This window comes from Homo sapiens, chromosome 19 (assembly GCF_000001405.40).
Source record: "Homo sapiens chromosome 19, GRCh38.p14 Primary Assembly".
Lineage (NCBI taxonomy): Eukaryota > Metazoa > Chordata > Mammalia > Primates > Hominidae > Homo > Homo sapiens.
Genome location: NC_000019.10, coordinates 1,177,093 through 1,202,932, shown reverse-complemented (window position 1 = coordinate 1,202,932; position 25,840 = coordinate 1,177,093). Strand labels below are relative to the sequence as shown.

Sequence of the window (25,840 nt, the reverse complement as noted above, 5' to 3'; positions counted from 1 at the left end):
GACAGGGTTTCACCATATTGTTCAGGCTGGTCCCGAACTCCTAACCTCAGGTGATCCACCTGCCTCGGCCTCCCAAAGTTCTGGGATTACAGGCATGAGGCACCATGCCTGCCCTACACACTGAATTTCCAAAGTTAGAAAAATTAAAAATGGGCCTGCCAGGCACGGTAGTTCACACCTGTAATCCCAGCACTTTGGGAGGCCGAGGCGGATGGATCACCCGAGGTCAGGAGTTTGAGACCAGTCTGGCCAACGTGGTAAAACCCTGTCTCTACTAAAAATACAAAAATTAGCCAGGCGTGGTGGCGGGCGCCCGTAATCTCAGCTACTTGGGAGGCTGAGGCAGGAGGATCGCTTGAACCCAGGAGGCAGAGGTTGCAGGGAGCTGAGATCTTGCCATTGCACTCCACCTTGGGCAACAATGAGACTCCGTCTCGAAAGAAAAAAAAATGGGCCTGGTATGGCGGCTTTTGCCTGTAATCCCAGCACTTTGGGGGGCCAAGGCAGGTGATCACCTGAGGTCAAGAGTTCAAGACCAGCCTGGGCAACATGGTAAAACCCCCGTCTCTACTAAAAATACAAAAACTAGCCAGGTGTCGTGGCGCCCGCCTGTAATCCCAGCTACTCAGGAGGCTGAGGTAAGAGAATCGCTTGAACCTGGGAGGCAGAGGTTGCAGTGAGCCAAGATTGTGCCACTGCACTGCAGCCTGGGCAACACAGTGAGACTCGGTCTCAAAAAAAAAAAAAAAGGGCACAAATAAAATATCTCACTGGCCAGACACAGTGGCTCACGCCTGTAATCCCAGCACTTTAGGAGGCCAAGGTGGGCTGATCACGAGGTCAGGAGTTCGAGACCATCCTGGCCAACGTGGTGAAACCTGGTCTCTACTAAAAATACAAAAATTAGCTGGGCGTGGTGGCGGGCACCTGTAATCCCAGCTACTCGGGAGGCTGAGACAGGAGAAAGGCGTGAACCCAGGAGGCGGAGCTTGCAGTGAACCAAGATCGCGCCACCGCACTCCAGCCTGGGAGACAGAGCGAGACTCCGTCTCAAAAAAATAAATAAATAAAAATAAAATAAAATATCTCATTAATAATTTTAATAATGATTGCATGTTGAAATGATGTAATTTTGGATATGTTAGGCTAAAGTAAATGTATTATTAAAATTAACCACTTCAGGGTTATGCACAGTGGCTCACACCTGTAATCCCAGAACTTTGGGAGGATCTCTTGAGCCTAGGAGTTTGAGGCCAGCCTGGGCAACATAGCAAGAACTTGTCTCAAAAAAAAATAAATACATAAATAACAGGCCAGGTGCAGTGGCTCACGCCTGTAATCCCAGCACTTTGGGAGGCCGAGGCGGGCGGATCATGAGGTCAGGAGATCAAGACCATCCTGGCCAACATGGCGAAACCCCGTCTCTACTAAAAATACAAAAATTAGTTGGGCGTGGTGGCGCACCCTTCTAATCCCAGGTACTCGGGAGGCTGAGGCAGGAGAATCACTTGAACCCGGGAGACAGAGGTTGCAGTGAGCGGAGATCACGCCACTGCACTCCAACCTGGCGACAGAGCAAGACTCCGTCTCAAAAAAATAAAAATAGATAAAATATATAAATAACAAAAAAAGATGGACCATAACAAGTATTGGTGAGGATGTGGAGAAACCAGAATTCTCATAAGCGGGGCAACCCCTTTGGAAAAGAGTCAAAAGTTTAAACATAGAGTTGCTATATGTACTGGCAATTCCACCCCAAGATATATGCCCGAGAGAACTAGAAACCTGTTCACACAAACACGCATGAATTTTCAAAACAGCGTTATTCACAAGAGTCAAAAAGTGAAAATAGGGCCAGGCATGGCAGCTCATGCCTGTAATCCCATCACTTTGGGAGGCCGAGGTGGGCGGATCCCTTGAGGCCAAGAGTTCCAGACCAGCCTGGGCAACATGGTGAAAGCCTGTCTCTACTTAAAAAATACAAAAATTAGCCAGGCGTAGTGGTGCATGCCTGTAGTCCCAGCTACTTGGAAGGCTGAGGCAGGAGAATTGCTTGAACCTGGGAAGAGGAGGTTGTGGTGAGCTGAGATCATGCCTCTGCACTCCAGCCTGGGCGACAGAGTGAGACTCCATCTCAAAAACAAACAAAAAAAAAAAACTGAAAATAGACCAGGAGCAGTGGCCCACGCTTGTAGTCCCAGCTACTCGGGAGGCTGAGGCAGTAGGATCAACAGAGGCTGGGAGTTTGAGGCTGCAGTGAGCTGGGATTATGTCACTACACTCCAGTGTGGGCAATAGAACAAGACCCTGTCTCTACTGAAAAGAAGAAAACAAGGCCGGGCGCAGTGGCTCACCCCTATAATCCCAGCACTTTGGGAGGCCGAGGCGGGAGGATTGCTTGAGTTCAGGAGTCCAAGACCAGCCTGGGCAACATGGTGAAAACCAATCTCTACAAAAAGTACAAAAACTAGGGGCCAGGCGCGGTAGCTCGCAGCCTGTAATCCCAGCACTTTGGGAGGCCGAGGCGGGCGGATCACCTGAAGTCAGGAATTGGAGACCAGCGTGGCCAACATGGTGAAACCCAGTATCTACTAAAAATACAAAATTATCCGGGCGTGGTGGCTGGCGCCTGTAATCCCAGCTACTCGGGAGGCTGAAGCAGGAGAATTGCCTGAACCTAGGAGGCGGAGGTTGCAGTGAGCCGAGATCGCGCCATTGCCCTCCAGCCTGGGCAACAGAGTGAGACTCTTGTCTCAAAAACAAAACAAAACAAAACAAAAAACAAAAACTCACCAGTCATGGTGGCGGGCGCCTGTGGTCCCAGCTACTTGGGAGGCTGAGGTGGGAGGATCACCTGAGCCCGGGAGGTGGAGGTTGCAGTGAGCCATGATCACGCCACTGCATTCCTGCCTGGCAACAGAGCCAGATCCTGTCTCAAAAAAAAAATTTTTTTTTTTAAAAAAGAACTATTCTAACATCCTCCCTCACAGGTGAGCCCACTGCAGCTGGCAGAGAGCAAGCTCCCTGCCCAGGTCTACACTCCAGGTCCCTGGTGGCTCTGGGACTCCCACCTGAGAGCCCTGGAGCCCCCAGGAGTCTCATTCAGGATGCCAGCTCCATCTGCTTCAGGGTGATGGGGCTTTGGGCATCGGACCAGGCATCCAACCCAGGCCAGGCTGGGCCAGCACGGAACCGGATCATATGGCGGAATCAGATCAAAGGGTCCTTCCCGGCACCGTGGGGCCAGTCGCCCGGCGGCTATTCTAAGGGTCTCCTGCAGGGCCCTTTTCTCTGGCCCAGCCCTGTGTCCCACAGAAATCTTCAGCTGGGAGGTCCTGGCCTCTAACTTCCCATTTCTCTGGATGGAGGATTAACGATGACCCTGTCATCAAAGATAAGACACGGTCGGGAATGAGATGCACTGTTGTATGAATCCCCACCGAACTCGTAGATATCTACACATTTTCATTTATGTATTTATTTTAGATGGAGTCTCCCTCTATTGTCCAGGCTGGAGTGCAGTGGCACAATCTCAGCTCACTGCAACCTCCACCTCTTGGGTTCAAGCGATTCTCCTGCCTCAGCCTCCCGAGTAGCTGGGATTACAAGCGTGCGCCACCACACCTGGCTAGGTTTTTTTTTTTTATTTTTAGTGGAGACGGGGTTTCACCATATTGGCCAGGCTGGTCTTGAACTCCTGACCTTGTGATCCGCCCGCCTCGGCCTCCCAAAGTGCTGGGATTACAGGTGTGAGCCACCGTTCCTGGCCTGTGTTTTTCTTTTTTTGAGACAGAGTCTTGCTCTGTCGCCCAGGCTGGAGTGCAGTGACGCAGTCTTGGTTCACTGCAACCTCTGCCTCCTGGGTTCAAGCGATTCTCCTGTCTCAGCCTCTCGAGTAGCTGGGATTACAGGTGCCCACCACCATGCCCAGCTAATTTTTGTATTTTTAGTAAAGACGGAGTTTCACCATGTTGCCCAGGCTGGTCTCGAACTCCTGACATCAAGTAATCCACCTACCTTGGCCTCCGAAAAAGCTGGGATTATAGGCATGAGCCACTAAGCCTGGCCTTGAATTCATAAATTTGATGACACTCTGGATATAAAGAGGCAGAGTGAGCCGGGCACGGTGGCTCATGCCTGTAATCCCAGCACTTTGGGAGGCCGAGGAGGGTGGATCACGAGGTCAGGAGATTGAGACCATCCTGGCTAACATGGTGAAACCCCGTCTCTACTAAAAAATGCAAAATTTAGCTGGGCGTGGTGGTGGGCGCCTGTAGTCCCAGCTACTCGGGATGCTGAGGCAGGAGAATGGCGTGAACCTGGGAGGCGGAGCTTGCAGTGAGCCGAGATCGCGCCACCGCACTCCAGCCTGGGCGACAGAGAGAGACTCCATCTCAAAAAAATAAAAATAAAAAAAAAATAAAGTGAAAAAGAGGCAGAGTGACCTCGGGTGGGTAAACCGTGACAAATGGTAATGCTATGGTAATAGGAAAAAGTGATGCTTATGACTATTTATGGTAGTCCTGGGGAAAATGCTTTCTTTGCATTCTCTCATCCTCACCAAACTGCAGGTTCTGTTAAGGGAACTGGCTTATGGGTGGGGGCCCCAAGTTATAGCAGAGAGCCCCAGGTTACAAGTGTGGGCTTAAGTTACAGGTGAGGGCCTCAATTATAGGTTGGAGAGGCCCAGGTTCCTGGCGGGGTGTAGGTTTACAGGTGCGGGACTGGGGTTTCAGGTGAAGTCCGGGCTTACAGTGAGTGCCACAGGTTACAGTTGCAGGGGCCCAGGTTCTAGGTGAGGGTCTGGGTTATAGATGAGAGAGGCCCAGGCTCCAGGTCGGGGGCCGCAGGTTACACATGAGGGCCTCAGGTTCCTGGTAGGAACCCCAGGTTACACTTGCAGAGGCCCAGGTTCTAGGTGAAGGCCTGGGTTACAGATGGGAGAGGCTCAGATACTAGGTGGGGGTCCCTGGTTACAAGTGGAGGGGCCCAGGTTTCAGGTCGGGGCCTGGGTTCTAGGTGGGGAACTGGGTTTTCCTTTTTTTTTTCTTTGAGACGGTATCTTGCTTTGTTGCCCAGGCTGGAGTGCAGTGGCGCAATCTCGGCTCACTGCAAGCTCCACCTCCCGGGTTCACGCCATTCTCCTGCCTCAGCCTCCCGAGTAGCTGGGACTACAGGCGCCCGCCACAACGCCTGGCTAATTTTTTGTATTTTTAGTAGAGACGGGGTTTCACCGTGTTAGCCAGGATGGTCTCGATCTCCTGACCTCGTGATCTGCCCGCCTTGGCCTCCCAAAGTGCTGGGATTACAGGCGTGAGCCACCGCGCCCAGCCGGTAACTGGGTTTTCAGGTGAAGGCAAGGGTTCCAAAGAGGGGGGCACAAGTTCCTGGTGGAGGTTCCAGGCCCCAGGTGGGGGCTGGGTTCCAGGTTCAGAGGTCCCAGGTTCTAGGTGAGGGCCTGGGTTACAGATGGGAGAGGCCCAGGTCCCAGGTGGGGGCTGGGTTCCAGGTTCAGAGGTTCTAGGTGAGGGCCTGGGTTACAGATGGGAGAGGCCCAGGTCCCAGGTGGGGGCTGGGTTCCAGGTTCAGAGGTCCCAAGTTATAGGTGGGGGCTTCTGCCAGCCCCGCCCAGGGCTCAAGCCTCCCTCCATCTCTTCCTCCAGGCTGTCACCTGTCATCTCTCCTACCCACCCATGACTCCCCCCAAACACACAGATCCTGCCCTCCAGCCTGCAGGGCAGGAGCTCTCCTACCATTTCCTCCCCTAGAACCCCTCGCTGACCCCACGTTCCCCCCGGCTCCGATGCCCAGGCCCCCGTTCACCCCCACCCTGCGGAGAAATGCCCGCCAGTCCTCCCTCCTGGCCTCTCTCTGGCCGCAGACCCGTGTCCCAGACCTCCTCCACTAGTGGTCTAAAAGTCGGGGCCTTGGCCGGGCGCGGTGGCTCACGCCTGTAATCCCAGCACTTTGGGAGGCCGAGGCGGGTGGATCATGAGGTCAGGAGATCGAGACCATCCTGGCTAACAAGGTGAAACCCCGTCTCTACTAAAAATACAAAAAATTAGCCGGGCGCGGTGGCGGGCGCCTGTAGTCCCAGCTACTCGGGATGCTGAGGCAGGAGAATGGCGTGAACCTGGGAGGCGGAGCTTGCAGTGAGCCGAGATCGCGCCACCGCACTCCAGCCTGGGCGACAGAGAGAGACTCCATCTCAAAAAAATAAAAATAAAAAAAAAATAAAGTGAAAAAGAGGCAGAGTGACCTCGGGTGGGTAAACCGTGACAAATGGTAATGCTATGGTAATAGGAAAAAGTGATGCTTATGACTATTTATGGTAGTCCTGGGGAAAATGCTTTCTTTGCATTCTCTCATCCTCACCAAACTGCAGGTTCTGTTAAGGGAACTGGCTTATGGGTGGGGGCCCCAAGTTATAGCAGAGAGCCCCAGGTTACAAGTGTGGGCTTAAGTTACAGGTGAGGGCCTCAATTATAGGTTGGAGAGGCCCAGGTTCCTGGCGGGGTGTAGGTTTACAGGTGCGGGACTGGGGTTTCAGGTGAAGTCCGGGCTTACAGTGAGTGCCACAGGTTACAGTTGCAGGGGCCCAGGTTCTAGGTGAGGGTCTGGGTTATAGATGAGAGAGGCCCAGGCTCCAGGTCGGGGGCCGCAGGTTACACATGAGGGCCTCAGGTTCCTGGTAGGAACCCCAGGTTACACTTGCAGAGGCCCAGGTTCTAGGTGAAGGCCTGGGTTACAGATGGGAGAGGCTCAGATACTAGGTGGGGGTCCCTGGTTACAAGTGGAGGGGCCCAGGTTTCAGGTCGGGGCCTGGGTTCTAGGTGGGGAACTGGGTTTTCCTTTTTTTTTTCTTTGAGACGGTATCTTGCTTTGTTGCCCAGGCTGGAGTGCAGTGGCGCAATCTCGGCTCACTGCAAGCTCCACCTCCCGGGTTCACGCCATTCTCCTGCCTCAGCCTCCCGAGTAGCTGGGACTACAGGCGCCCGCCACAACGCCTGGCTAATTTTTTGTATTTTTAGTAGAGACGGGGTTTCACCGTGTTAGCCAGGATGGTCTCGATCTCCTGACCTCGTGATCTGCCCGCCTTGGCCTCCCAAAGTGCTGGGATTACAGGCGTGAGCCACCGCGCCCAGCCGGTAACTGGGTTTTCAGGTGAAGGCAAGGGTTCCAAAGAGGGGGGCACAAGTTCCTGGTGGAGGTTCCAGGCCCCAGGTGGGGGCTGGGTTCCAGGTTCAGAGGTCCCAGGTTCTAGGTGAGGGCCTGGGTTACAGATGGGAGAGGCCCAGGTCCCAGGTGGGGGCTGGGTTCCAGGTTCAGAGGTTCTAGGTGAGGGCCTGGGTTACAGATGGGAGAGGCCCAGGTCCCAGGTGGGGGCTGGGTTCCAGGTTCAGAGGTCCCAAGTTATAGGTGGGGGCTTCTGCCAGCCCCGCCCAGGGCTCAAGCCTCCCTCCATCTCTTCCTCCAGGCTGTCACCTGTCATCTCTCCTACCCACCCATGACTCCCCCCAAACACACAGATCCTGCCCTCCAGCCTGCAGGGCAGGAGCTCTCCTACCATTTCCTCCCCTAGAACCCCTCGCTGACCCCACGTTCCCCCCGGCTCCGATGCCCAGGCCCCCGTTCACCCCCACCCTGCGGAGAAATGCCCGCCAGTCCTCCCTCCTGGCCTCTCTCTGGCCGCAGACCCGTGTCCCAGACCTCCTCCACTAGTGGTCTAAAAGTCGGGGCCTTGGCCGGGCGCGGTGGCTCACGCCTGTAATCCCAGCACTTTGGGAGGCCGAGGCGGGTGGATCATGAGGTCAGGAGATCGAGACCATCCTGGCTAACAAGGTGAAACCCCGTCTCTACTAAAAATACAAAAAATTAGCCGGGCGCGGTGGCGGGCGCCTGTAGTCCCAGCTACTCGGGAGGCTGAGGCAGGAGAATCGCTTGAACCCGGGAGGTAGAGGTTGCAGTGCGCCGAGATGGCGCCACTGCAGTCCGCAGTCCGGCCTGGGCGACAGAGCGAGACTCCGTCTCAAAAAAAAAAAAAAAAAAAAAAAAAAAAAAAAAAAGTCGGGGCCTTGATCGCAACCGCCCCGCTTCACGGACCTAGCTCAGCCCCCCCACGCAATGGAGTGGGGTCGAGCCTCGCACGCACTGGCCCCGCAGCAGCCAGAGGGGTCTTTCCTAGACCCCTGCCAGGTATCCGGTCGCGGATAGAAAAGGGGCCGGCGGTCTGCGCGGACCGCTGTGGCCGCCAGGTGGCGGGCGCGGGCTGCGGCGGAGAGGCCCGCGTCCGGGTTGAGTGCGCGTGCGCGAGGCTGCCCGCTTGGCCGAGCCCCCTCGCCGTGGACCCCGCCCCGCGGTGAGATCCTCCGGGTCCGGAGGCCCCTTCGGGAGCGCAGGGCAAGAGGCAGGAGGAGGGGACGTGTAGGATCCGCTGCAAATAATCCGATAACTGTCCTCGCCACATTCGGCTAAAAAAAAAAAAGTGAAAAATAGGCCGGGCGCGGTGGCTCACGCATGTAATCCCAGAACTTTGGGAAGCTGAGGCGGGTGGATCACCTGAGGTCAGGAGTTCGGGACCGGCCTGGCCAACATGGTGAAACCCCATCTCTACTAAAAATACAAAAATTAGCCGGGCGTGGTGGCGGGCACCTGTAATCCCAGCTAGTTGGGAGGCTGAGGCGGGAGAATCGCTTGAACCTGGAAGGCGGTGGTTGCAGTGAGCCGAGATCATGCTACTGCACTCCAGCCTGGGCAACAGAGCAAGACTCCGCCTCAAAAAAAAAAAAAAAAAGTAAAAAATAATAGGCCGGGCGCGGTGGCTCACGTCTGTAATCACAGCACTTTGGGAGGGGGGCAGATCACGGGGTCAGGAGATCGAGACCATCCTGGCTAACACGGTGAAACCCTGTCTCTATTAAAAATACAAAAAATTAGCCGGGCGTGGTGGCGGGCGCCTGTAGTCCAAGCTACTCGGGAGGCTGAGGCAGGAGAATCGCTTGAACCCGGGAGGTAGAGGTTGCAGTGAGCCGAGATCGCACCACTGCTCTCCAGCCTGGGGACAGAGCGAGACTCCCAAAGTGCTGGGAATACAGGCGTGAGCCACTGTGCCCTGCCATAAAATATATTTTAGAATTCTCATAAAATATATGTAACATGACATTTATTCCCTTTTTTTTTTTTGAAACGGAGTCTTGCTCTGTTGCCCAGGCTAGAGAGCAGTGGCACGATCTCGGCTCACTGCAACCTCTGTCTCCCGGTTCAAGGGATTCTCCTGCCTCAGCCTCCCGAGTAGCTGGGACTACAGGCGCCCATCACCATGCCCAGCTAATTTTTATATTTTTATTAGAGACGTGTTTTCACCGTATTGGCCAGGCTAGTCTTGAACTCCTGACCTTGTGATCCACCTGCCTCGGCCTCCCAAAGTGCTGGGATTACAGGCGTGAGCCACCGTGCTCGGCCTTTTTTTTTTTTTTTTTTTTGAGACAGGGTCTTGCTGTCTCACCCAAGCTGGATTACAGGTGGGGGACTGGGGTTTCAGGTGGAAGCCAGGTTTACATGTGAGTGCCACAGTTTCCACAGAGCCCTAGGTTCCAGATGAGGGCCTGGGTTACAGATCACAGAGGCCCAGGTTCTAGGTGGGGGCCTGGGTTACAGGTTGGGGAGGCCCAGGTTCCAGGTGGGGGACTGGGTTCCAGGTGGGGGACTGGGGTTTCAGGTGAAGGCTGGGGCTACAGGTAAGTTCTAAAGTTCCAGGTGGAGGGGCTGACAGTGTAGGTGAGGGCCTGGGTTCCAGGTGGGGGACTGGGGTTTCAGGTGAAGCCTGGGCTTACAGGTAAGTTCTACAAGTTCCAGGTGGAGGGGCTGACAGTGTAGGTGAGGGCCTGGGTTCCAGACGGGAGAGGCCTGGGTTCCAGGTGCAATCGTAGCTCACTGCAGCCTCAGACTCCATGGCTCAAACAGTCCTCCCACCTCAGCCTCACAAGTAGCTGGGAGTACAGGTGCATGCCACCAGGCCTGGTTAATTTTTTTAACATTTCTTTTGTAGAGACAGGGTCTCGCTATGTTGAACTCCTGGGCTAAGTTGATCCTTCTGAGTCAGTTGAGGACAGGAGTTTGAAACCAGCCTGGGCAACATAGTAATAACCCATCTTGACAAAAACAGCAGTTAACCATGCCTAGCTAATTTTTTTGTATTTTTTGTAGAGATGGGGTCTTGCTATGTTAGTCAGGCTGGTCTCAAACTCCTGACCTCAAGTGATCCGCCCGCCTTGGCCTCCCAGCGTGCTGGGGTTGCAGGCATCCGCCCCTGCGCCCGGCCTCCACGCCCAGCCCCCGTACCCCGCCTCCGTTTAACTTCTTGTGGAGCTACCACACTCTTCCCCAGCGGCTGCAGTCTGGGTATGCTTTTGACTCTTCAGTTTTACGACACGGGAATGCATCACTATTCAAAAACTTAAATTATCACAGAAAAAAATCAGCAAATTCTAGACTGTGGGAAACTTAACAGGAAAAACAACTGGGTTTCATACAAAAGAAAAAAAGAAAAAAAAAAACAAAAACAAACCACAGAAAGAGAGAGGGAGGGCGAACCTGCAGATTAAAAGGCACATAAGAGGCCGGTGAGGTGGCTCAGCCTGTCATCCCAGCACTGTGCAGGGCCAGGAGGGAGGATCACTTGAGGCCAGCAGTTCGAGACCAGCCTGGCCAACATGGCAAAACCCCATCTCTACTAAAAATACAAAAATTAGCCGGGCATACTGGCAGGTACCTGTAATCCCAGCTACTCGTGAGGCTGAGGCAGGAGAATCGCTTGAACCCTGGAGGCAGAGGTTGCAGTGAGCTGAGATCGCACCACTGCACTCCAGCCTGGGTGACAGAGCGAGACTCTGTCTCAAAAAATATATATAAATAAATAAAATAAAATAAATTAAAAGCACACAAGAGGTTTATAAACTGTTCACTAATTGCACGCTTTATTCAGATCCATAACCCAGAAACTATTTTTAAAAATTAGACAATTTGGGCCGGACACAGTAGCTCACACCTGTAATCCCAGCATGTTGGGAGGCTAAGGTGGGTGGATCACTGGATCCCAGGAGTTTGAGACCAGCATGGGGAACACGGCAAAACCTCGTCTCTAGTAAAAATACAAAAAAATTAGCCAGACGTGTCCGGGAGCGGTGGCTCACGCCTGTAGTCCCACAACTTTGGGAGGCCAAGGCGGGCGGATCATGAGGTCAGGAGATCGAGACCATCCTGGCTAACACGGTGAAACCCCGTCTCTACTAAAAGTACAAAAAATTAGCCTCGCAGTGGCGCGCGCCTGTAGTCCCGGCTACTCAGGAGGCTGAGGCAGGAGAATTGCTTGAACCCAGGAGGCAGAGCTTGCAGTGAGCCGAGATCGTGCCACTGCACTCCAGCCTGGGTGACAGAGCAAGACTCTGTCTCAAAAAAAAAAAAAAGAAAAAAGAAAAAAAAAAGACGCATAGGAGAAGCATTTGCTACTATGAAATTTGTACACAGGCTTTTCCGTGGATGTTGATCCTCCCGTGGGTACTTGGGTATTACCTGGGATGGAATGACTCGGTTATATCCTGCATCAGTTGTGTGTGGTGGTCTGGACCGTGGAACCCTGGGCCTATGGTCATTTCCTTCCAACTCTAATAATGTCCTTTTTTTTTTTTTTTTTTGACACATAGTCTCACTCTATTGCCTGGGTTAAAGGGCAGTGCAGCTGTCTTGGCTCACTGCAACCTCCTTCTCCCCAGTTCAAGTGATTCTCCTGCCTCAGCCTCCCAGTTAGCTGGGATGACAGGCACCCGCCACCACACCTGGCTTATTTTATTTTATTTTATTTTATTTTTTGTATTTTTAGTAGAGACAGGGTTTCTCCATGTTGGCCAGGCTGGTCTCGAACTCCTGACCTCAAGTGATCCACCTGCTTCAGCCTCCCAAAATGCTGGGATTACAGGCTTGAGCCATCATGCCCACCCTCTTTATTTTTTATTTTTTTATTATTTATTTATTTATTTGAGATGGAGTTTTGCTCTTGTTGCCCAGGCTGGAGTGCAATGGTGCGACCTCGGCTCACTGCAACCTCCACCTCCCGGGTTCAAGCAATTCTCCTGCCTCAGCCTCCTCAATAGCTGGGATTACAGGCATGTGCCCCCATGCCCGGCTAATTTTTTTTTTTTTTTTTGAGACAGAGTCTCGCTCTGTCGCCCAAGCTGGAGTGCAGTGGCACAATCTCAGCTTACTGCAAGCTCCGCCTCCTGGGTTCAGGCCATTCTCTTGCCTCAGCCTCCCGAGTAGCTGGGACTACAGACGCCTGCCACCACGCCCGGCTAATTTTTTGTATTTTTAGTAGAGACGGGGTTTCACTGTGTTAGCCAGGATGGTCTCGATCTCCTGACCTCGGGATCCGCCCGCCTCGGCCTCTCAAAGTGCTGGGATTACAGGCATGAGCCACCGCACCTGGCCCAATTTTTTTTTTTTTCAGACAGGGTCTCACTCTGTCCCCCAGGCTGAAGTGCAGTGGCATGATTACCGCTCACTGCAGCCTCCAACTCCCTGGGCTCAGGTGATCCTCTGACTTCAGCCTCCCACACCCAGCAAATTTTTAAATATTTTTTTGTAGGCCAGGCTGATCTTGAACTCTTGGGCTCTAGTGATCCTCCTGCCTCAGCCTCCCAAAGTGCTGCAAACACAGGTGTGGGCCACCATCCCCAGCCCCACTGTCCTTTAATCTTCCCTCATCAGGACTGGTTCCCTCCTGCCACCTCAAAGGCTCCTCCCCATGGACCCACATAATTGTCTCCTTCAAGAATCACTTGAAGTTCCCGGGCGCGGTGGCTCACGCCTGTAATCCCAGCACTTTTGGAGGCCGAGGCAGGCAGATCACCTGAGGTCGGGAGTTCGAGACCAGCCTGGCCAACATGGAGAAACCCCATCTCTACTAAAAATACAAAACTAGCTGTGCGTGGTGGCGGCCGCCTGTAATCCCAGCTACTCAGGAGGCTGAGGCAGGAGAATCGCTTGAACCCGGGAGGTGGAGGTCGCAGTGAGCCCAGATTGTGCCACTGCACTCCAGCCTGGGCGACAAGAGCGAAACTCCATCTCAAAAAAATAAAATAACTGCCTCGTTCACTCATTCAGGTCATAGCTCAGTGGTCACCTCCTCCGAACAGCCTTTGCTGGCCCCCAGTCTGGGTCTCCCACATCCCCACACCCTGCCCCCGTCAACCCTGTCTGCAGGCCTCTGCTGACTCACCCGACTTGAGAGGTGCTTTGAAGGTTCTGCTATGGTTCTCACTCACAGGAAGGTGTGACTGCCTGCTCCCACTGGTGCCTGGAGGAAGAGGGAGGAGACCTCCCAGCCCAGACGACCTGAAGGCTGATAGCAACAATGGCTGACATAGACTGACCTAAAGTTTCTGGTCCAGGGCTAAAGTTCCTCCATGCCGTCCACCACCACTTTACCGACGAGACCCCAGCGGCTCTGAGATGTCCCTGAATCCTTGCCTGGGGACAAAGAACCACATAGAGCAGGGGTCAGCCCACCTATTCTGTTAAGGGCCAGGGAGCAAATACTTTCAGCTTTGGAGGCCAGCCAGTGCAAGCAGCCACTGGCTGGGCACGGGGGCTCACCCAGTAATCCCAAGGCTTTGGGAGGCTGAGGCGGGAAGATCACTTGAGGCCAGGAGTTCGAGACCAGGCTGAGCAACATAGTGAGATCCCCATCTCTACTAAAAAAAACCTTAAAACTATTACCTGGGCATGATGGCTTGTGCCTGTAATCCCAGTTACTCAGGAGGCTGCGGTGGGAGGATCCCTTGATCCTAGGAGGCAGAGCAGCCTCTGCCTGTGAGCCCTGTTTGCACCACTGCCCTCCAGCCTGCATGGCAAAGCGAAACCCTGTCTCAAAAAGAAAAAGAAAAAAAAGAGGCTGGGTGTAGTGGCTCACACCTGTAATCCCTGCACTTTGGGAGGCTTAGGTGAGCAGATCACTTGAGGTCAGGAGTTTGAGACCAGCCTGGCCAACATGAGAAAACCCGTCTCTACTAAAAATACAAAATTAGCCAGGTGTGGTGGTGCGCACCTGTAATCTCAACTACTCGGGAGGCTGAGGCAGGAGAATCGCTTGAACTTGGGAGGTGGAGGTTGCAGTGGGCCAAGATCGCACCACTGCACTCCAGCCTGGGTGACAGAGCGGGACTGTGTCTCAATTAAAAAAGAGAAACAAAACAAAGCAAAACAAAACAAAAAGGCTGGCTGTGGTGGCTCACGCCTGTAATCCCAGCACTTTGGGAGGCCGAGGCGGGCAGATCACAAGGTCAGGAGTTCAAGACCAGCCTGGCCCAACATGGTGAAACCCCATCTCTACTAAAAATACAAAAAATTGGCCAGGCGCGGTGACTCACGCCTGTAATCCCAGCACTTTGGGAGGCTGAGGTGGGTGGATCACGAGGTCAGGAGTTCAAGACCAGCCTGGCAAATACGGTGAAACCCTGTCTCTACTAAAAATACAAAAAAAAAAAAAAATTAGCCAGGCTTGGTGGCGGGCACCTGTAGTCCCAGCTACTCGGGAGGCTGAGGCAGGAGAATGGCGTGAAGACAAGAGGCAGAGGTTGCAGTGAGCCAAGATGGAGCCGCTGTACTCCAGCCTGGGCGACAGAGTGAGACTCCGTCTCAAAAAAAACAAAAAACAAAACAAAAAAAAAACTAGCTGGGTGTGATGGTGGGCGCCTGTAGTTCCAGGTACTTGGGAGACTGAGGCAGGAGAATCACTTGAACTTGGGAAGCGGAGGTTGCAGTGAGCTGAGATCATGCCACTGCACTCCAGCCTGGGCGACAGAGTGAGACTCCATCTCAAAACAAACAAACAAATAAACAAACAAATGAAAATACAAAAAATTAGCCGGGTGTGGTGGTGGGCGCCTGTAGTCCCAGCTACTCGGGAGGCTGAGGCTGGACAATTGCTTGAACCCGGGAGGCGGAGGTTGCAGTGAGCCGAGATCGTGCCACTGCACTCCAGCCTGGGCGACAGAGCAAGACTCTGTCTCAAAAAAACAAAAAAACAAAAACAAAACAACCCGCATGTATTCATTGAGCAGCACTGGATCCCACTCATTCATCCTCTGATGTCTACTGGTGCTGCCTCCATGCCAGCCCTTCCATGGGATGGGTGGCCTGCTTAGCACAGCTGGGCCTTCTTTGCCAACAGCTATCCCACCCCTGCCAATCATGCCTCTGTCCATAGAGGAGGGTTTTTTTGTTTTTGTTTTTTGTTATTATTATTATTTCCTTTTTTTTTGAGACAGAGTCTAGCTCTGTCGCCCAGGCTGGAGTGTGGTGGCGCGATCTCGGCTCACTGCAACCTCTGCCTCCCGGGTTCACACCATTCTCCTGCCTCAGCCTCCTGAGTAGCTGGGACTATAGGCGCCCACCACCACGCCTGGCTAATTTTTTGTATTTTTAGTAGAGACGGGGTTTCACCGTGTTAGCCAGGATGGTCTGGATCTCCTGACCTCGTGATCCACCTGCCTCAGCCTCCCAAAGTGCTGGGATTACAGGCGTGAGCAACCATGCCTGGCCTATTTTTTTTTTTTTTTGAGAAGGAGAGTCTCACTGTGTTGCCCAGGCTGGAGTGCAGTGGCGCAATCTCAGCTCACTGCAACCTCTGCCTCCCGGGATCAAGCAATTCTCTGCCTCAGCCTCCCGAGTAGCTGGGATTACAGGCATCCGCCACCATGCCCAGCTAATTTTCGTATTTTTAGTAGAGACAGGGTTTCACCATCTTGGCCAGGCTGGTCTTGAACTCCTGACTTCGTGATCCACCCGCCTCAGCCTCCCAAAGTGCTGGGATTACAGGCGTGAGCCACCGCACTCGGCCCTTTTTTTTTTTTTTTGAGACAGAGTCTTACCCCGTCACCCAGGCCGGAGGGCAGTGATGTAATCTCAGCTCACTGCAACCTCCACCTCCTTGGTTCAAGAGATTCTCCCTCCTCAGCCTCTTGAGTTGCTGGGACCACAGGTGTGCGTCACCATGCCCGGCTCATGTTTTGTACTTTTTTTTTTTTTTGAGACAGAGTCTTACTCTGTTGCCCAGGCTGGGAGTGCAGTGGCACGATCTCGGCTCGCTGCAAGCTCCGCCTCCCGGGTTCAAGCGATTCTCCTGCCTCAGCCTCCCGAGTAGCTGGAATTACAGGCATGCAACACCACTCCCAGCTAATTTTTGTATTTTTAGTAGAGACAAAGTTTCACCATGTTGCCCAGGATGGTCTCGAACTCTTGACCTCATGATCTGCCCGCCTCGGCCTCCCAAAGTGCTGGGATGACAGGCGTGAGCCGCCGTGCCCATCCCGACCACGAGTTTTCACCCAATTGGCTCACTCCATACAACCATGTGATCCCTGCCTGGCCAATCTGGGCATCCCCTTACCAGGCCACAGCCCACCAGGACATGTGACCCAGGCTGGGCGAATGAGAACCTCCCTGGCACTTTGGTGCCCCCACCTTGGGAAGAGGTGTTGACTCCTGCCAGGGCTGTTAAGATGATGGGCAGATGAGATTTGGGGCTTATGGCATCATCTTTTCCCCATAAAGGCAAAGTCTGTTGAAGAAAAAAAAAATAAGAGAGACCGGGCACGGTGGCTCACGCCTGTAATCCCAGCACTTTGGGAGGTCATGGCGGGTGGATCACCTGAGGTCAGGAGTTCAAGACCAGACTGGCCAACATGGCAAAAGCCCATCTCTACTAAAAATACGTAAATTAGCCAGACATGGTGTCGCACGCCCGTAGTCCCAGCTACTCGGGAGGCTGAGGCAGGAGAATCACTTGAACCCGGGAGGCAGAGGTTGCAGTGAGCTCAGGTCACATTATTGGGCTCCAGCAGAGGTGACAGAGCGAGACCCTGTCTCAAAAAAAAAAAAAAAAAAAAAAAAAGAAAGGAAAAGAAAAGAAAAAAGCCAAGAGAGGGGATGGCAATGCTAAGAGATGGAGAATTGGACACATCCTTGTGACACTGACCGAGGGTCCTGGATCCAGCTGTGTCTGAAACCCGCCAGACCAGTAGGGCTCAACCAAGGGTGATTACACCCCCAGGGGACACTCAGCAATGTCTGGAGATGTTTTTGGTCACCATGACCGGGTGGGGACGCTACAGACGTTGACTGGGTGGAGGCCAGGGTCATTGCTGAGCACCCTGTGTGCCCAGGACGGCCCCCACCCTAGTGAATGGTCCTTTCCAGAACATCAACGGTGCTGAGAGGGGTGGCCTTGAGTTAGCTCTATCCCTAAATCTTTCAGTTCCATGAGCAAAAAATTCCTGTTTTTTAAAAAGGAGCCAGTTGTAGTTTCAATTTCTGTCAGCTGCAACCAAACGATTCTTGTTTGTTTTTTTTTTTTTTTTTGAGGTGGAGTCTGGCTCTGTCGCCCAGGCTGGAGTGCAATGGCGCGATCTCAGCTCACTGCAACCTCTGCCTCCCAGATTCAATAGATTCTCCTGCCTCAGCCTCTTCAGTAGCTGGGACTATAGGTGTGCACCACCACCCCCGGCTAATTTTTGTATTTATACTAGAGACAGGGCTTCACCATGTTGGCCAGGTGGATCTCAAACTCCTGACCTCAAGTGATTTGCTCGCCTCGGCCTCCCAAAGTGCTGGGATTACAGGCGTGCACCACTATGCCCAACTTGAAGGTTTTTTTTCTTTTTTTTAATATAAACTCTTCACCATACCCCAAGCCCCACTCCAAACACTTAACACATACCAGAACTTACCAAATTCTCACAAAAGGCTTCCAAAGGAGGTACCACGATTATCCTCATTTTATAGATGGGCAAACTGAAGTGTGGGAGGTCATGTGCCTTCCTGAGGTCACAGAGCCCCGGGGGGGAGTGGCGGGATTTGAACGGTGGAAATCTTCACTACTTGTTCCCACACTCCTCTTTTGTTTTTTTGAGATGGAGTCTTGCTCTGTCACCCAGGCTGGAGTGCAGTGGTGCGACCTCGGCTCGCTGCAACCTCCGCCTCCCAGGTTCAAGCAATTCTCCAGCCTCAGCCTCCCGAGTAGCTGGGATTACAGGCACCCGCCACCAAGCCCGGCTAATTTTTGTATTTTTTGTAGAGACGGGGTTTCTCCATGTTGGCCAGGCTGGTCTCGAACTCCTGACCTCAGGTGATCAGCCTCCCTCGGCTTCCCAAAGTGCTGGGATTATAGGCTTGAGCCACTGCGCCCAGCCCTGCTCCCTGACTTTTGTTTCAACTCTGCCAGTCCCGCTTGCAACCCTGTGGACGTGAGAAGGCCTGCAGGGAAGGGAAAGCACTCTCCACCCATTGCAACCCCCCACCCCCCAGTTCTCACCTCCTAGAACCCAGATTCCCACTTGTGCCCTGTAGATGCTGGCCTGGGCTGAGCACTGTGGCTCACGCCTGTCATCCCAGCACTTTGGGAGGCTGAGGCGGGTGGATCACCTGAGGTCAGGAGTTCAAGACCAGCCTGGCCAACATGGCGAAACCCTGTCTGTACTAAAAATACAAAATTTAGCCGGGCGCGGTGGCAGGCGCCTGTAATCCCAGCTACTGGGGAGGCTGAGGCGACAGAATCACTTGAACCCGGGAAGCTGAGGTTGCAGTGAGCCGAAATCGCACCACTGCACCCATGCCTGGGCAACAAGAGTGAAACTCTGTCTCAAAAAAAAAAAAAAAATGATGCCAGGGCTGGGGCTGGGGAGTCCAAGTTTTCCCCAAGTCCCCGTGGGACGCAGCAGAAACTGGCCCTCAGAGGAGGTGGTCAGACTCCTCACAGTTCTCCAAATGCCCCCAGGCCCTCCATTGCCCAGCCCCTCCCGTGCTACTGGCACCTAGAATGAGTCAGCCAGGAGCGGCCCTGGCTTCTCTGGAATTTCCCTCGGGGCCGGGCAGCGGATCCGAGGTGAAGGTCCAGGAAGTCCCCACACAGGTGACATCAGCACTGGGCTGACCACTGCGTACACTCAGGGCAGCCATGGTGGGGCCTGGAGCCCGTTCCCCCTCCTGGGACCCTTGCCCTGCACTCACGTGGCAGGGGCCTGCCTGGGAAGGGCCAAGGTGTCTGTGTCCTAGGCTGCTCCAGCATCCGGCTTCTTCGTGGCCTGGGGACCCCCTCAGGGTGTGTCTGTTCTCTGTAGTGGCCCTGGCACCTGCAAGTGGGGCCTGGCCCTGGGTGGCACTGAGAAATTCATCTCGGATGAATACATGGCCCCAACCTGCCCTCCCCACCTTGCAGCCCCATCCAACGATCCAACGCCCCTGCCCTGCCCCCGGCCCTTTGCTCTGGCCCCAGCCCTGGCAGAGCAATCTCCTCTGGTGCCCTACTTCTGCCCGTGGCTCCCCACCGCCCCGGGGACAAAGCCACAGGACCTGGCATTTGAGGCCTCTGCCTTGTCGTCCTTAGATGTGGGCCCAGGGGGTGCAGAGTACCGGTTTGGGGGCATCCTGGGGGCCGTCTCCCCTCCCTCGCATTTTCTGTAGCTCAATCCTGGCTCATAATGAGCACCTGATAGGAAGTTCAGGCCGGGTGCAGCGGCTCACACCTGTCATCTCAGCACTTTGGGAGACCGAGGTGGGAAGCTCACTTGAAGCCAGGAGTTCAAGATTAGCCTGGGTAACCCAGTGAGACCTCTTCACTACAAACAAGGTTTATTTATTTATTTATTGTTTGTTTGTTTGTTTGTTTGTCGAGACGGAGTCTCGCTCTTTCGCCCAGACTGGAGTGCAGTGGTGCGATCCCGGCTCACCGCAACCTCCGCCTCCTGGGTTCAAGCGATTCTCCTGCATCAGCCTCCCGAGTAGCTGGGATTATGGGTGCGTGCCACCATGCCTGGCTAATTTTGTTTTTGTTTTTTTTTTTTAGTAGAGAAAGGGTTTCACCACGTTGGTGAGGCTGGTCTCGAACTCCTGATCTCAGGTGACTCACCCGCCTTGGTCTCCCAAAGTGCTGGGATTACAGGCATGAGCCATCGCGCCTGGCCAACAAAATTTAAAATTAACCAGGCATAGTGGTGCGCCTGTCATCCCAGCTACTCTGGAGGCTGAGGAGGGAGGATTGCTCCAGGCAAGGAGTTCAAGGGTTCTGTGAGCCGAGATCACACCACTGCACTCCAGCCTGGGCGACAGAGCAAAACCCTGTCTCAAAATAGAAAAAAAAAAGAAAGAAAGAAAAAAGAAGTTCAAAGTTTGGCTCTTTTTTTTTTGAGACAGAATCTTGCTCTCTCTGTCACCCAGGGTGGAGTGCAGTGGTGCGATCTCGGCTCACTGCAACCTCCGCCTCCCTGCTTCAAGCAATTCCCTTGCCTCAGCCTGCCGAGTAGCTGGGATTATAGGCGCCCGCCACCACCCCCAGCTAATTTTTTTGTATATTCAGTAGAGACGGGGTTTCACCGTGTTGGCAGGTTGGTCTCAAACTCCTGACCTCAGGCAGTCCACCTGCCTTGGCCTCCCAAAGTGCTGGGATGACAGGCGTGAGCCACTGCACCCGGCCAAGTTTGGCTCCTTTCTTCATCCTCGGGGCAGTTGAGCCTCCTCCGGCCTCAGTCTGACTACCAGATGAGCCTTCTGATCTGAAATTCGGTCCCTGTGCCTCACCCCATCCAGTACACCGCTAGCCCCACCATGACTGTACCACTCCGTTGCTCCAGAACCCTCAATGGTTCCCTAGTGCCCCCAGAATACAGGCCACGTCTAGCTTCCAGGCCCTCCAGGGTCCCCTCTCTCTCTCCCAGTCCATCTATCCTCACACCCCAGGCCCCGCACACTCTCCCCTGAGTCTTTGTCCCCGCTGAGACTTTGCATGTGCAGTGCCTTCTCCCTGTTTATCCTCCCTGCACAGGGCGACCGGCAGATTGCTGATCTTCCTTCACCCAGCCTGCCCTGGGTGCCCCAACCTCAGGACACAGCCCTGACCCAGACTAGGCTGCTGCAGCCTGTACCCAGCCTGAGGTGCTATGTCAGGGGTGTCACTGGGCCCCTTCAACCCAGCTGTCCTAGCGTCAGTGCGGAGGTGAGAAAGCCTGTCCCATGTGGAATCTCAAACCCGTCAGACAGGTTTGTTGTTCCCTAAAGTTGTCTTGGCACAGAGGCTGCCCCGACCTGGCCTGGTAGGATCTCACTCTGGGCCTGGCCCTGGTCAAGCAGGTGGCTGCAGGGCCCGGGAACACGCCGGCCAGCACCGACCTGAGGACACCCTGGAGCAGGTGGCCCTGACCACAGGGAGGGTATGGTGCTGACACGTGAGGGCGGCCACGGGAGGGGGATGGTGGCAAAAGAAGGGACTGAGACAGAGATAGACAGAGATAGAGAAACAGAGACAGAGACAAAGAGAGAGCTAGAGAAACAGACAGAGGGATCCAGAGACAGAGACAGGGAGACAAAGACAGAGACAGAGAGACACGGAGACAGAGACAGACACAGAGAGAGACAAACAGAGAGACAGAGGGACACAGAGACAGAGACAGAGAGACAGAGACAAAGAGAGAGACAGAGAAACAGAGAGACAGGCCGGGAGCGGTGGCTCACGCCTGTAATCCCAGCACTTTGGGAGGCTGAGGCGGGCGGATCACGAGGTCAGGAGATCGAGACCATCCTGGCTAACACGGTGAAACCCCGTCCCTACTAAAAAATGCAAAAAAAAAAATTAGCCGGGCGTGGTGGCGGGCACCTGTACTCCCAGCTACTTGGGAGGCTGAGGCAGGAGAATGGCGTGAACCCGGGAGGCGGAGCTTGCAGTGAGCCGAGATCGCGCCATTGCACCCCAGCCTGGGGGACAGAGCGAGACTCTCTCAAAAAAAAAAAAAAAAAAAAAAAAAAGAAACAGACAGGGACACAGAGCCAGAGCCAGAGAAACAGAGACAGAGGGACACAGAGACACAGACAAAGAGACACAGAAAGAGACAGAAATAAACTGAGACACAGAGAGACAAAGAGAGCCAGAAACAGAGAGACGAAGACAGAGAGACAGAGAGACATGGAGACAGAGAGACAGACAGACAAGGAGACAGAGAAAGAGACAGAGAGAGACAGAGAGACAGATAGAGACAGAGACAGAGACAGACAGAGGGGTGACAGATGTAGCCTCCTGGGTCGGGCAGGCCCAGCTGCTGTGGAATCAGCTTTCCCTTCTGCACACCAGGAAGGGCCTGATTGGGAAAGAAAAGAGGAGAGAGGCAGGAGGGGAAGGGGCGGGTCCCAGGCCCGTCCGCTGGGGAAGTGGGTGGAGGAAGGAGAAGTGGTGAGGAGCCCGGCGCCCAGGAGGGCTGGCAGGGAGGAGGTGCCCCCTCTGCCTGGGAACACAGGGACTTTCCAGAATGTGGAGAAACAGGAAGTGGCTCCATCCCATCCCTGCCCCCGCATCGGGCCGCGCCGGGCCAGACCCACCTGCCTGCCTCACCTGCCCAGGTCTGAGGCTCTGTGCGGGAGCCGCCCGTCACCACCACGCACCTCCCCCTCCCTGGGCACCTCCCTCGGCCCCCTGGACGGCAGAGTGGGCACAGTCCCAGGGTCCTTCTTGCCGCCCAGGAGAGACACTGAGGCCGGGAGGGGAATCCAGGCTGGCATCTCCCAGATGGGGAAACTGAGGCACAGCCCAAGAAGGTCCTTACAAACAACCTTCATGTTTGTCTGAAGTTTTCTGCAATTTGAAATAATTAAGACAGGCTGGACAGAGTGGCTCATGCCTGTAATCCTAGCATTTTGGGAGGCCGAGGCAGGTGGATTGCTTGAGGCCAGGAGTTTGAGACCAGGCTGGGCGACACAGTAAGACCCCATCTCTACAAAAAAAAGAAAGAAAGAGAGAGAGAAAGAAAGAGAGAGAGAGAGAAAGAAAGAAAGAAGGAAATAGAGAGAGAGAGAGAAAGAAAGAGAGAAAGAAAGAAAGAAAGAAAGAAAGAAAGAAAGAAAGAAAGAAAGAAAGAAAGAAAGAAAGAAATGGGCCAGGTGTGATGGCTCATGCCTGTAATCCCAGCACTTTGGGAGGCCAAGGTGGGAGGACTGCTTGAGCTCAGGAGTTCAAGACTAATCTGGGTAAAATGGTGAAACCCCGTCTCTATAAAAAGTAAAAAAATTGGCCAGGCATGGTGGTGCATACCTGTAGTCCCAGCTACTTAGGAGGCTGACTGGGGAGGATTGCTTGAGCGCAGCAGGCAGAGGCTGCAGTGGGCTGTGACTATACCACTGCACTCCAGCCTGGGCGACAGGGTGATTCCCAGTCTCAAACAACAACAAAGCCTGGGCGCAGTGGCTCACGCCTGTAATCCTGGCACTTTGGGAGGCTGAGGCAGGTGGATCACGAGGTCAGGAGTTCAAGACCAGCCTGGCCAGGATGGTGGAACCCCGTCTCTACTAAAAATACAAAAAATTAGCCGGGTGTGGCGGCGGGTGCCTGTAGTCCCAGCTACTCGGGAGGCTGAGGCAGAGAATTACTTGAACCCGGGAGGTGGAGGTTGCAGTGAGCCAAGATCGCGCCACTGCACTCCAGCCTTCTTGTCAACGGAGCGAGACTCCGTCTCAAAAACAACAAGAACAACAACAGCAGCAGCAACAAAAAGTACTCGTCACGTACCTACAGTTGAATTTTAACTGGGTGTCTTGTGTTTGATCTGGCAACCCCACTTCCACAATTCTCTCGAAGGGGCTGGGAAGACATTTAGGAGGACCTGTATGGGATGGGGAAGAGGGAGGGTTTAGGGAGGAGAGTGTTGACGTCAAACACAGCCCCACCAGAAAACCTCCACAAATGTACAACTCTGTCCCCCAGGAGAGCTCTCCACCCTTCACATGGCACCGAGGACCTGGGCCTGGGCCAGAGCTGGAAGCCTGAGAGCTCTCTGCGGGGTGGGACTACTGGGGGACGGGGCTATCCACACCTCTGACCAGTTGAGCGTCTCCCCTGGGGGGCGGCTTCCAAAGTCTGAGCCAGGAGAGCTGGTGCCGGCCAGGGCCCTCACCCCATCTCTGCCCATCTGTGGCGTCAAAAATGCCTCCTCTCTTGAACTCCAACTGCAGCATTCATCCTTATTATTTTCTCATTGAACATCCACTTCAGTGACGCCATGGACTGGGCCGAGGAAAATCAAGAATTTCCCTAGGGTGGCTCAAGCCTGGAATCCCAGCAATATGGGAGGCCAAGGCAGGCGGATCACGAGGTCAAGAGCTCGAGACCATCCTGGTCAACATGGTGAAACCCTGCCTCTACTGAAAATACAAAAATTAGCCGGGCATGGTGGCACGTGCCTGTAATCCCAGCTACTTGGGAGGCTGAGGCAAGATAATCACTTGGACCCAAGAGGCAGGGGTTGCACTAAGTTGAGCTCATGCCCCTGCACTCCAGCCTGGGTGAAAGGGCCAGACTTCGTCTCAAAAAAAAAAAAAAAAAGAATTTCATTTGGAAATATTCGTAGTGGTTAAATTCTATTAGGCACTGTCTGTCCATTGAGTTGTCTGAACAACCTAGCAGCTAGTTGCTATTATTATTATTATCATTATTATTATTTTTTTTGAGACAGAGTCTTGCTCTGTTGCCCAGGCTGGAGTGCAGTGGTGCGATCTCAGCTCATTGCAACCTCCGCCTCCCGGGTTCAAGCGATTCTCCTGCCTCAGCCTCCGGAGTGGTTGGGACCACAGGTACGTACCATCATGTCCGGCTTATTTTTGTATTTTTAGTAGAGACAGGGTTTCACCATGTTATCCAGGATGGTCTCAATCTCTTGACCTCGTGATCTTCCCGTCTCAGCCTCCCAAAGTGCTGGGATTACAGGTATAAGCCACCGTGCCCGGCCACTAGTTGCTATTATTATCACCCTCCCCATTTTATAGGTGGGAAAACCGGGGCACAGAGAGGTTAAGTAACTCTCCTTGGGTCACACAGCAGATTCACAGCACTGTACTCCAGGCTGGGCCATGAGCCCCAGTACTGTGTCCCTGCTGCTTTCCGGAGCCACCCCCTGTGATTCCCTGGAAATCCCCGCATCTGACTAATTCCCTAAGCATCCCCCAACTTGGCAGATTCCTGCCTGCTGAGATGGCTGGACCCACCCCGGCCTGGGCAAACTGCCCCCACTTTAGGCAAAATCACCCATCGAGACCTTGTGGTTTCCCGAGGTGGATGTGGCAGAGATCGAGCCCACGCCTCTTCCTAGCTCACTTGGTGACCTCAGGGCAGCTTCTGAACAGTTCGTGCCTCAGTTTCCTCCCTCGTGAAATGCAGGTAATACCAGTCGCTACCCCAGAGGGCCGCTGTGGGAGCAGGGCCGGCGTCGTGGGTGTGTGTGACTCGGGGCTTCGCCCACCGCCTGCACTCAGAAGGTCCCGGCGCTCAGCGTGATGCTTTGCTGTTGCCTAACCCAAGCTATGAAATATGTTTTGTGCCGGGGCACCGTGTTTTCATTTCCACTGATCCTCAAAAGTTGTGTGGATGGTCCAGTGTGGGAGGAAATGAGCAGATGCAGCCGCCACCCTCCAGTCCCCAGGCTGGCTTCCTCACCCTTCCAAATCTTTAGTGCCTATTGCTCAATTTAACTGCTGTTCAATTTGCTGTGAAAAGAGTCTCAGCCAGGCACGGTGGCTCATGCCTGTAATCCCAGCACTTTGGGAGGCCGAGGCAGGCAGATCACCTGAGGTCAGGAGTTTGAGACCAGCCTGACCAACATGGAGAAACCCTATTTCTACGGAAAATACAAAATTAGCTGGGCATGGTGGCACATGCCTGTAATCCCAGCTACTTGGCAGGCTGAGGCAGGATAACCACTTGAACAGGGGAGGAGGAGGTTGCAGTGGGCCAAGATTGCGCCAATGCACTCCAGCC

General features: G+C 54.0%; 7 annotated features.

The window, feature by feature from the left end:
• Positions 8,171–8,400: a silencer, noted in NCBI's record as "silent region_9667". NCBI's record gives its function as "represses an Ori minimal core promoter by ATAC-STARR-seq in GM12878 lymphoblastoid cells {active_cell/tissue: GM12878}" and the evidence as "EXISTENCE:reporter gene assay evidence [ECO:0000049][PMID:35858748]".
• Positions 17,511–18,069: an enhancer, noted in NCBI's record as "H3K27ac-H3K4me1 hESC enhancer chr19:1184863-1185421 (GRCh37/hg19 assembly coordinates)". NCBI's record gives its function as "activates a minimal SCP1, AML or CMV promoter by ChIP-STARR-seq in primed H9 embryonic stem cells {active_cell/tissue: H9 hESC(primed)}" and the evidence as "EXISTENCE:reporter gene assay evidence [ECO:0000049][PMID:30033119]".
• Positions 18,070–18,630: an enhancer, noted in NCBI's record as "H3K27ac-H3K4me1 hESC enhancer chr19:1184302-1184862 (GRCh37/hg19 assembly coordinates)". NCBI's record gives its function as "activates a minimal SCP1, AML or CMV promoter by ChIP-STARR-seq in primed H9 embryonic stem cells {active_cell/tissue: H9 hESC(primed)}" and the evidence as "EXISTENCE:reporter gene assay evidence [ECO:0000049][PMID:30033119]".
• Positions 18,841–19,040: an enhancer, noted in NCBI's record as "active region_13592". NCBI's record gives its function as "activates an Ori minimal core promoter by ATAC-STARR-seq in GM12878 lymphoblastoid cells {active_cell/tissue: GM12878}" and the evidence as "EXISTENCE:reporter gene assay evidence [ECO:0000049][PMID:35858748]".
• Positions 19,291–19,340: an enhancer, noted in NCBI's record as "active region_13591". NCBI's record gives its function as "activates an Ori minimal core promoter by ATAC-STARR-seq in GM12878 lymphoblastoid cells {active_cell/tissue: GM12878}" and the evidence as "EXISTENCE:reporter gene assay evidence [ECO:0000049][PMID:35858748]".
• Positions 22,448–22,963: an enhancer, noted in NCBI's record as "H3K4me1 hESC enhancer chr19:1179969-1180484 (GRCh37/hg19 assembly coordinates)". NCBI's record gives its function as "activates a minimal SCP1, AML or CMV promoter by ChIP-STARR-seq in primed H9 embryonic stem cells {active_cell/tissue: H9 hESC(primed)}" and the evidence as "EXISTENCE:reporter gene assay evidence [ECO:0000049][PMID:30033119]".
• Positions 24,350–25,549: an enhancer, noted in NCBI's record as "P300/CBP strongly-dependent group 1 enhancer chr19:1177383-1178582 (GRCh37/hg19 assembly coordinates)". NCBI's record gives its function as "activates an origin of replication core promoter dependent on BRD2, BRD4, P300/CBP, MED14 and CDK7 cofactors, with strong dependence on P300/CBP, by STARR-seq in HCT116 cells {active_cell/tissue: HCT116}" and the evidence as "EXISTENCE:reporter gene assay evidence [ECO:0000049][PMID:35650434]".